Source organism: Homo sapiens, chromosome 17 (assembly GCF_000001405.40).
Source record: "Homo sapiens chromosome 17, GRCh38.p14 Primary Assembly".
NCBI classification, from domain to species: domain Eukaryota; kingdom Metazoa; phylum Chordata; class Mammalia; order Primates; family Hominidae; genus Homo; species Homo sapiens.
In genome coordinates this window covers 73,683,103-73,694,730 of record NC_000017.11, presented here as the reverse complement: position 1 = coordinate 73,694,730, position 11,628 = coordinate 73,683,103, and the positions used below count along the sequence as shown (strand labels likewise).

At 47.7% G+C, this 11,628-nt stretch overlaps 1 annotated feature.

Moving 5' to 3' along the window:
• Positions 8,154-8,732: an enhancer, noted in NCBI's record as "OCT4-NANOG-H3K27ac hESC enhancer chr17:71682138-71682716 (GRCh37/hg19 assembly coordinates)". NCBI's record gives its function as "activates a minimal SCP1, AML or CMV promoter by ChIP-STARR-seq in primed H9 embryonic stem cells {active_cell/tissue: H9 hESC(primed)}" and the evidence as "EXISTENCE:reporter gene assay evidence [ECO:0000049][PMID:30033119]".

Below are 11,628 nucleotides of genomic sequence, written 5' to 3'. Positions count from 1 at the left end.
CAGACACCATAGCTCCCTCTTCCCACCACCTCATGGACTTCCCTGGAACCCTGAGCACTAGAAAGGAGGCAAGCATTATACCCACTCCCTCCCCAGGACAGGCGGGAAGCAGGCCCCCGAGGTGAAAGGATAACCAGCCACAAACTCACCATCTTAGTCCATTCAAGCTGCTGTAACAAAATGCCATAAACTGAGTGGCTTATAAACAGCAGAAATCTGTTGCTCACAATTCTGGAGGCTGGGAAGTCCAAGGTCAAGGCACTGGCAGAGTTGGTGTCTGGGGAGGACCACTTCCTAGTTCATAGATGATGCCTTCTTGCTGTGTCATCACATAGTAAAAGGGATGAGGGAGGTCTGTCTTTGGGGTATCTTTTATAAAGACACTCATCTCATTCATGAGGCTCCACCCTCATGACCTAACCACTTCTCAAAGGCACTGCCTTCAAATACGGTCACACTGGGGATTAGGTTTCGACATAGGAATTTTGGGAGGACACACATTCAGTGTATGTCGCTCATGAAGGACGATCTTGAGATGATCCTCCACCAAGGACATAATAAGAGAATTAAACCGCAAGAGGAAGACATGCAAGAGGAGAACTTCCAATGGGCTATGGAATCAAACAGGGAAGACTGCGAATTTTACCTCCCACCCCTCACCAGCTGCCTAATGCAAGCAATGACTGTGCCTAAATCTTTGTATCCTCCGTGGTGGGATGGGGGTAAAATGCAGAGTGATCACTAGGCCTGGAAACAGAGGTAAATATCCAATAAAGAGATTATTGATATTGCAATGGTTGGTAAGATCATCATCTCTGTTCCAAACACCATGGCCACCCCATAGTACACACCTTCCAGGCTTGTCAGGAAGATTGAATAATGAACTTTTATTGCATGCTCCCCAAGTGTCAGACACTGTTCTGAGTGCTTTACGCACACAATACAAGTTAGTTATTCAACTAATAAGTGTTGGGATTGAATGTGACCATATCCATCAGGCACAAAACCAATATTCCACAAATTGTAACTTGCTGATGGTGGTTGTCATGGAACACTAGAACAGATGAGTTAAAGATTACACGATCAAGGGGCATCCTGGAAGTAGAGGTTTTCATCCTACCAAATGTCCTCAGCTACAAGAGATATACCTTGTTCATTTGGTCTAAGGGCACGTGATTCTGACAGGATCCTCTGAGCAGAATTTCGGTCCTTTTGGGAGGGGCGTGTGTGTGTGCGTGCTCCTGGATCTATTGTATTTCCGTTGATGAAGAGTCAGACGAAACTTGCACCAATTAGCAAGCATGATCTTCCCCTGGCTTATGCTTTGCTGCTGTTTTCAAGATGCGATCCGGTCCCAGCCAAAGCAAGGAGACAGACGCCTCGTCCCAGGACTGAGAGCTGCGCGGTACTCACAGCCCTTTGTATCCCCTGGTTTCACAAAGTACAAAAATAGGAGGCAAGCTCGAGACAGCTCAGATGCCTGGCTCAGGCAATCACAGTCAGGAGAGAGGAGAGGAGGAGGGGGAGGCGAAACACAAGGGAAAGAGAAAGAGAGGAAAAGCAGCCACTTAAGGTCAAAGCACTGAGAATAACATGAAAATGCTGCCAACCGAGTGGAATCAAGACGCCTTCAAGGTTGGAAATGTGACAACCGAGCTGTTGTTGCCTCTGGGCTGGTGTCACCATTGTAGTCTCACAGGAGCTGGGATGCTAGATAGAGACTTGTTGCGGGGGGCGAGGTAGGTAGGCTGGGTTCAGCTCTCAGACAGGGGTGTGCCTGGGTCTTCCTAAGGAGGGCTGAGCGACTGCCCGTCATGGCCTCGTAACCAAGAAGGCAAGCCCAGCCTCAGCAATTCTTGAGGGCTGATGAAATGGAGCTTTGATGGATGGCATTTGATTGGACAGCATGCAAATGTATGCAAACAAGGCCTGGGAGAACCTGGTGGTGCTTTTCTTTATTTGTTTATTTAGTTGAGACAGGAGAGATACATGTTCATTGTAAACAAATCAGAAAATTGCAGATTTGCACCAAGAAAGAAGTCAAAATCCTTTATTAGCCCACTACTCAGGAAACAAAGTTTTAAAAAAAGCAGAAAAACTATTGCTAACATTTTGGTGTACAGTCATTCTTCCAGACAATTTTTGGCCCATACATCTATAGTTGGGAAATTTTTTTCTAACCAAAATAGGTTCTTACTTCACAAACTGTTTTGCAACCTGCTTTTTTTGCATTGAAAATATATCATAAGTGCGCATATGGCACTGTAATTTATTTAACAAACTCCCCATTGTTGGAAATCTAGATCATATTCTGCGTTCTTAGGCAAGGTTAGAAGACCCCAAACTCAACTGCAAGAGGCAGATGGAGTAGAACAAGATGTAAGGGAAGCCTGCCCTCCAGGGAAGTGTGTGTGTGGTGGGGATGGGGATGGGTAGAAGCAGCTCAGACCATACTGCTTTGGAAGCCAAATTAATTTTATTGTCTCCAGAGCTGGGGGAACAATTGCTGCCCAAATATCAGGCCCGAAGACCAGAAGCAAGTGACATAGACCCCTCGTAGCCACCCTCGTAAATAACTCTCCAGGAGTCCCAGCCAGCTGCGAGTGTGGCTCAACAGCTTCCCCGGGGGAAAGAGAAAGAAGACTTATCCCAATAATTCACCATCTCATCTTTTTGCATCACGAATTTGGCAGCCCCAGCACGTGGACCCGTGTTTCAGCTATTGTAAGGAAGGACAAATAGAAGGAGTGATCACCTCAGTCTAATGGGAAGATACAGTTAAAGAACAAAGAATATACCCACTGCAATATGAACTAGATGTTCTATGCAAACTGGGCCCCTAAGTGTGGAAAGGTGTGGGGTAAGAGAGCCATTCCGTTAACTTTAGTTAAATACCTTCTATGCCTCCTACGTGCCACCTCTGTGTAGGCCCCTTTGTTTGGAGTATCTTGTTTAATCCTCAAAACGCTCTTCTGAGAAAGCCACCCTTCTGCCGCTGGGGTCACTGAGGACCAGAGAGAGGCCTTGACTTGCCTAGGGTCACATGAGTCATTCAAGGGCGGAGCTCAGGGTGCAGCTCCTCCCAGACCCCAGAGAGGCCCCATGTGAATAAATCGTCTGCAAAAGGTGGGCTGTATGAGGGAAAGCTGCTGGGAGGCAGTGACTTCGGAGACCAGCTTTGCAGAAAGGAAGGGGCATAGGAGAGGGGAGACAGGGAAGACTGTAGGAGAAGGGGGAAGCTGGGGGTGGCATGGCCATGAACAGACCAGGTGCAAGGCGGGGGGCAGATCAGGCTGACAGCGGAGGAAGTTCTGAAGTTGGAATGAAAAGCATGCAGCCGGGGACTCGGAAGGAAGAAAGGGCCAGGCTGTCCCGAGAGCCCCAAAGACAGGTCAGGGTTGGGTCACAAATGGGAAATGAGAGGTGTCTGTCGTGTCTGCCTGCATGGGGGGAGCTCAGGACCCAGTGGTCAGAGCAAAGGCAGAGAGGGAGCTGCTCCCGCCATCACCCCTCCAATTACAGCCTCAGGCCCCAAGTGAAAGCCACTTTGGGCAAGATTTATTAGGCTTCTCCCTTTGCAGTTGAGCTTCATTTGTTTTGCTCCATATTTGCTGGTGGCTCTGGAATGGCATTAATGGCCTATTTGGGGTCCATGATCCTCCCATGTCCTCTCTGAGGCCGGAGGGGCCATCTGGGCTTTTTATTTGCCCAGTTGGCTCGCTTTTTAATTACACGGAGTGGGAGAGCAGGGGCTCGGGGCAGCGTGGATGGCTGCAGCCAATATTTATCATGATTGTTAGTATTTTCACTGCTAATAATCCCCGCAAATGAGAAACGGTAATCCAGAGGATTGGGGTTGTTAATTGAGAAATCATGCAGTGGAGCTACACCCATCATGTGGGTGGAGCCGAGAAAGGAGGAGGAACTGCAAGCTTGCTCCTCCCACGTCGCCTGGGATGAGCCCAGGCCCCTCCTGGCCAGAGGAAGCACTGATCTGTGTCCTGGGAATCCAAGATAGAGTCATGGATTGTTTTGTTTTTTTAATTCTGGAAAATGGGTTTGGGAGTACTTAGGGGCTGCAATGGATACCCCAGGGAGGGCCATCGTTGGGGAGGTCAGAAGGAGCCACCAAGACTAGTTTGAAGTCAGCTCCTTCATCAGCCACCCCCGCCCCTCAAGCTGGAGAAGGCAAGAGAAGAAAAGGTCATTCCCAAGTCGAGGATACCGGCAGTGGCTCTCCCTCACAGTCGCCACAGTGACAGAGTACTTGCGTGGAGCTTTTCCGGAGAGTGCTTTGAAAATAGGAACAGAGAAATCCTAAAAGCATTCCTCCCCTTTGACCCAGCCATCCTGCTTCTCAGAATGCATCCTCATGACGCTAGAGATGAGGACAAGGGTGGGCGTGGCAACCAGGATTTGGGGGAAACCTCCAGTCCTCCCCGCTCCTAGAGGAAGGTCTGGAGTTGGGTCCAACAGGACAGCCGCTGGCCATATGGGGGTATTTACATTTAAATCAGCTAGCTGAACTCAGCCCCAGTCACACGAGCCCCATTTCAGCTGTTCCACAGCCACTGGGAATGAGGGGCTGTTGTGCCAAACCCCTGTTAACCTCCGTAGGGAAGGCACCAGGTTCAAGAGGCCAAACAGGAGACCCAGAGCCAGCAAACAAGACATGGAGTATTATTAGAGGCTTACATACAGGAGAGAGAGTCCAGTAGCAAAGGCTGACAACACATCCACCTTCCCTACAGTACAGTGGCGTCGGGCTGGCCAGGAAAACCCCAACTGCCTGCAAACGGTACACAGTCTCCATAGCATTTCACCTAACACCCTCCCCTAAATGACCTCCACCTGGCACCTTCATTGATCCCAAAACTCGGGGCCTCAATCTCCTGTACAGCCCATGTTCCACGGGACAAACTGGGGGCTCAGATGCTCCTCACAGGTAAAGAACGAATCTTCGAGTTGGCCACGCCAGATTCCCTAGCTTGGGACACACATTTAGACGTGCTGCCACAGTGTCATTCTAAGAAAATAAGTTATTGCTCTTAGGTTCATATACCCTACAGGGGCCGCTGCACTGGACACTGCAGATGCAAACACTTCCAACATCTCAGAAAGTCTTATTGGAAAGCAGGGATCTGGAGACTCACCTCCAATCCAGCCTCCACTCAGGGACGAGAGGGATTATTTATAAAAATGTAAATGTTTTCATGTCATCACTCCCCTGGAAATCCTTCAGTGCCTTCCCATTGCCCTTAGAATGGGGTCCAAACTCTTCCCACGGGCCCCTCTTGGACCAACCTCTACCTTGTCAAGAGTTCAGCAGCGCTGATCTCCAACAGCTTTGGAACATGGAAACCCCAGGGTTTTTGCACTGGCTCTTCCCTGAACCTAGAACCTGCTACCCTCACTTCTCAAGCCTGCTAGCGGGAGGTGGCTGCACATCTGAAAAACAGACTCAGGAGCAAATTGGTTAACCAGATCCCAGCAGGGAGGGGTCTCACATGTCAATCCAGCACTTCCTCAATAGGCCCCCTAGAGAATGGGGTCTCCTCAGAGGTCTTTTTGTCTTTTTATTCACAAAGAGGGAGGTCCAGACTCTGAACCCAACTTCTGGAGCTTTGATGTGATGAGTGTAATGAAAGAGAAGGGTCCAGAACTGTGGCTCCATCCTCCCCACCAGGAAATATACCTCTGAATTTCCTGCTTCATGGCAAACACAGGTTGACAAGCTTGGTTTTCAGGGTCACTTTAGCTCATCTTCACAGTCATCATTCCAGGCAGCACCGATGAATGTTAGCTATGCTTTTGTTCAGCCTCTCTGGGCTGCAGGCTCCCTCACCCTAGGACACACTGACCTCCCCTCCTCTGTGTTCCTCGGGACTCCCCAGCCACCCTGAGTGATCACTGACCATTCCCAGGGCCATCTGTTTCCCTAAAGAACAAGGTCCCCGAGGACAGGGCCCTGTCCTGTTTCTCTTTATATCCCAGTCCCAGCTGAGAATGTGGCATCTAGTAGGTGCTCAATAAATGCTCATCAAATGAAGGAAAGGAATAGGGAGTTTCATCTTATTCCGAATCTGAATTAGATGATTCCTGAGAAAACCTTTGAGAAGCTTACAGCTGGGATACTAAATCGAGTTAAGGTGTTCTTAATGATCTTAATGGGTATTGTTATTTCAAATTAACTAATTACTCTGATTTTAATGTACTCTGGCAATGTAGGCTCATCATTATCATTATTATTATTTCATAGCCCCTATGAATCCAGCCTTAGATGTGTCTGTTCAGCAGGTGTCTTATCATCACTGACTGTTTGTATACAAATTTCTAGATTCCACTAAAGGCACCCAGAATTGAGACTAATGTGAATTAATAGCCATTGGACTGCCCTGTTATATTAATGTTATTATTCAAATTCCGATGTCAGGAACATCGTTTAAGAGTCACTCTCCAGGGAGTAAAATGAAAACAATCTCAAGTAGAGGGGATCAGTGAGATAAACCATGTAGTGCACGTAACGTGGTGCGATCCTCATTCTCTTTTCTCCAAGCATCCAAGCTTGGGTCATCATCAGTGATACCCTCTCCTCCACACTCTGTGGTTAAGCAGCAAGTTCTCCTTGAAGTCTCTCCTGCCTCTCCTTTCTTCCTCATTCTCCCTTCTCATGATTAGGGCAAACTTCCTCCCACTATCCCCATTGCTGTGTCTGTTAGCATCATTGCTAGTTGATTTCCTGCCCAGTTCTCCTTCTGAAAACCATCTTATCCAGCACACCCAGATTTACTTTCCTTGTCTCCTCCAATCAGGCCTCAAATCCTCTCTTCAGCCTGCCTTCCACTCCCTGCCCACCTCTAGCCATGCTCTCCTTCTAGGTGTCAGCCCTGTGCTGGGTACTGGAATAACAAATATATGGACTAGCCAAGCCCCAAGCACACAGCCTCCTAGAGTAGACACATGTAAAAATAAAGAATAGAGCACAGCAAGACAAGCGCTGATAGTGGTGGATACAAGGTATAGAGGTGCCCGGAGGAAGGGGCCTGCAGGTCTTGATGGAGAGAGGGAAGTCAGGGAAGGCTTCTCAGAGGAGGGGCTGTTTGTGCTGTCAAGAGGATGAGCTGTCATTCAAGTCATGTATTAGGCCATTATCACGTTGCTATAAAGAAATACCTGAGAATGGGCAATTTATATGAAAGAAAGGTATAACAGGCTCACAGTTCTGCAGGCTTTATAGGAAACATGGTGCTGGCATTTGCTTGGCTTCTAGGGAGGGCTAAGGAAGCTTACGCTCATGGTGGAAGGCAAAGGGGGAGTAGGCACATCACATGGTGAAAAGGAGAGATAATTAAGAGGGAGACGCCACACACTTTTAAATGAGCAGATCTCACGACAACTCACAATCATGAAGACAGCACCAAACCATGAGGGATCCACCCCTATGATCCAAACACCTCCCATCAGGCTCCACTTCCCACACTGGGAATTACAATTCAACGTGAGATTTGGTAAGAGGGGCCACAGATCCAAACTATATCATTCTGCCCCTGGCCCCTCCCAAATCTCATGTTTAAGTCCAAAGTCTCATCTGAGATGAGGAAAGTCCCTTCCGCCTGTGAGCCTCTAAAATCAAAGGCAAGTTCTTTACTTCCAAGATACAATGGGGATATAGTCATTGGGTAAATATTCCCATTCCAAAAGTGAGAAATTGGCCAAAAGAAAGGGGCTACAGGCCCCATGCAAGTTCAAAACTCAGCAGAGCAGTCATTAAATCTTAAAGCTCCAAAATAATCTTCTTTGACTCCATGTCCCATATCCAAGGCACACTGGTGCAAGGGGTGGGCTCTTAAGGCCTTGAGCAGCTCCACCCCTGTGGCTTTTCAAGGTACAGCTACCCCTGGCTGGTCTCATGGGCTGGGGTTGAGTGCCTGTGACTTTTCCAGGCACAGGGTATAAGCTGCTGGTGGATCTACTATTCTCATGTCTGGAGGATGTGGACCACTTCTCACAGTTTCACTAGGCAGTGCCCCATTGGAGACTCTGTGTGGGGGCTTCAACCTCACATTTCCCCTTGGCACTGCTCTAGTAGAAGTTCTCTGTGAGAGCTCCACCCCTATAGCAGGCTTCTGCCTAGACACTTAGGTTTTCCATACATCCTCTGAAATCTAAGCAGAGGCTGCTAAGCCTCAACTCTTTTACTCTGTGAACCTGCAGGCTTAACACCACATGGAAACTGCCAAGGCTTATGGTTTTCATTCTCCAGAGCAGTGGCTTGAGCTGTGTCTGGGCCCTTTAGAGCCACAACTGGGGCCAGAGCAGCCAGGATGCAGGGATCAGTATCCTGGGGGCCTGTGGGGCAGTGGGGCCCTAGCCCTGACTCACAAAACCACTCTTTCCTCCTAAGGTTCTGGGCCTGTGATGGGTGAGGCTACCCCAAAGGTCTCTGAAACACCCTCAAGGCCTTTTCCCCATTGTCTTGGATATTAGCACTTGGCTCCCTTTTAGTTATGCAAATATCTCTAGCAGGTAGTTGCTCCACAGCCTTCTTGAATTCCTCTCCCAAAAAAACTTTTTCTTTCTTTGCCATATGACTAGGCAGCAAATTTTCCAAACTTTTATGCTGTGCTTCCCTTTTAAATATAAAATACAACTTTAAGTCATTTCTTTGCTCCTGCATCTGAGCATAGGTTGTTAAGAAGCAGCCAAACCACTTCTTGAACACTTTGCTGCTTAGACATTTATTCTATCAGATACCCTAGGCCATCACTCTGAAGTTCAAACTTCCACAGATGTTTAGGGCATGGACACAATACAGCTATGTTTTTCACTAAGGTGTAACATGCATGACCTTTGCTCCAGTTCCCAATGAATTCCTCATTTCCATCTGAAACAAGCCTGTCATTCATCAGCCTGGCCTTCATTGTCCATATTTCTATGATAACTGTGATAGAAATATGGATAGTGAAGACCAGGTTGGTGATGCTTGAGTAAGTCTCATCTTCCCAGCTGGATGGAAACCCCTTTGCTAAATTTCATCTATCTGAAATGGTCTTCAATGTCCTTCAAATGTCCCCAGGGCTCACGTCTCACCTTCTTCAGAGTTGATCAAGGTCACCCTACACTAAGGCCTTCCCTGACCACACTATTTAAATGAACCTCCCTCTCCCCAACATATACATCCAGCTCTGGTACTCTCTGTCCCTCTTCCTTCATGAAACTATAAACAAATCTCTTCTATTTTTCTCCCTAGCTCCTATCATCATGTAATATACTATGTGTTTTCATTTGCTTATTGTATGACTCCCTCTTCTACAATGTAAGCTCCAGGAGGGCAAGGATTCAAGTCTATTTCATAAAATGTTGCAACTCTGATGCCCACAACAGTGCATAAGGCACCTAGCAGGTGCCTAATATGTGACTGTTAATCTAGTGACATGAATGAAGGTAACAAAGTTATTTTATGTCATTTCCCATAAAATAGCTTTGCAGTGCAGTGCCTCTGCATAGGATCTAATCCAATGTTAGCAGTGGTCTCCATGCCCCTTGAAGAACTGGATAAACCAGACCCTTGGTTTCTCTATCCCTGTCATTCAAAGAGCCCTATCTGTGATTGCTGAGAACTGCTGGGGCTTCCTTCTGCACACCTCTCCCTGTGTCTGGGTCCTGCCCCTCTTGGGCTGCCTCAGTCTAATTGATTCTCATCAGATCAGACATGGAAATCCACAGGTTCTCAAGGGCCTCCACAAAAAATGTCCACTTGCACCAAGGAGTTTGTGAGCAGAGAAGGTTGCTGGAATATTGGGGGAAGGCTGGGGTTGGCCGCCTTCCTCATCAGTCCCAGAGGTTTTGGTCTCCTGATGATTTGCCACTGCCCACCCCTCTCTGCTTCCTTCTCTTTCCAGTTGCTGCCACCTTCCTTCCTGGGGCTCAGCAAGTCAGCTCTGCCCACACCCAGAGCCTCTGAGGCCTCCTCTTTAACCCTCAAGCAGTTCTAATCAGAGCATTCCTCCAAACGGGAGCACTTCACTTTCTAAGAGGAATTCCAACATCATTAATTTACAGCGGGTTTGGTTTTTATTTTGTGTCTATTATTTGCATTATACAGAGACAGAAGAAACTGGCCTCAGAGATGATAAGCAAAACACAAGGTTACATAGCTCATCAAAAGCAGTTTCCCTAGCTACAAAGAATAAATCAAAGAAAACCCACCCCTGTACCCATACCAACTATCTGCCTTCTCCCTGCCTCCCTCCCAGGCAAACTGCTTCAAAGGAACGACTTTGCCTACCCTTTCTTTTTCCTCACCTCCCACTCACATGCCTCCAACCATCCAACCTGGCTTCAGTCCAATCACTCCCAAGAAAAAGCTCCCACGGACGTCAACAGTGACTTCTTGGTGCTGTATCCCATGGGGATTTCTCAGGTTCAAAACACTAGTCTTTTCAGCAATTTGACACTTTCAGTGATAAAACCTTGTGCCACCCCCACTCCATCCTCTCTCAGTGAACTCCAGTGCATCCTTCACTCTCTGCTCAAGTGTCACTTCCTCAGGGAAGCCCTCCCTGACTTCCCAGGGTAGGTCAAGTTCTATTGTATATGCTCTCATATCTCCTATGCCCAGCAGTATCCGGCATGGAGTAGGTACTCAATGAACACCTGTTAAATGAATGGAGTGAATGAATGGATCTGTGTTTACTTCTTTCAGAGCCTTACAGTTTCACATTCATTAGCACATGTCTCCCCCACTAGGCGGTAGATGCCCAGAGAACAGGATCCATGCCTGGTTTTCCCTGTATCATATTTCTGGCACCCACCCCAGGGCCCAACACATGGAGGAATCTCCCCCATATGTGCCACATGGAAGAGCTGGGATTCACACCCAGGTTGCCGGTTCCAAAGCCTCTGCACTCAGCAACTACTGGTTGATTGACGGACGGTAGGTGACCCCTAGCCGTCTCTACTAACGCAGCCTTCTGAAATTTTAATGTGCACAAGAATCACCTGGAGAACTTGTTAAAATATAGATTCTGATCAGTAGGTCTGAAGTGGGTCCCAAGATTCTGCATTTCTAACAAGCTCCCAGGAGATGCTGACAATGGGGTCTGTGGACCCCGCTTTAAGCAGCAGGGGTAAATACAAGGTGCTGATCTGTAAACAGAGCATCGTGGGCATCCCAGAATTACAGCAAAGAGTAGGGGGCAGGGCAGCAGGCTCCGAATCCACAAAGGCTGCCAAATAGTGCCTGAAATCAGAATCAATGATATGTCTCTCAGATATATGCCACAGTATCCCTTATTCTGGCTAGGACGAAAAAAATGCTTTCATTTAAAAGCATTAGTGAATTCATAGTAACTTTCCATTGTTATGCATTTAATCAACTGACTGATAGGTACTAAACATATAGGGATGGTGGATAGGAAATCTAAGGGACCTTTTAACATTAGGAAAATGTTGGGAGGCGATAGGACTTTAAGACCTGCCTGGACGATGAGGTGGCCTTGTGTCCTGCTCTTTTCAGGGGCCAATTGGCTGGAAACATAGAAGAGCACCCTGTGGGGACTGATGAAAAAGACAGACAGAGACGGATGGACAGAGAAACAGAGAGAGAGAGGCACAGGCACAGGGGAC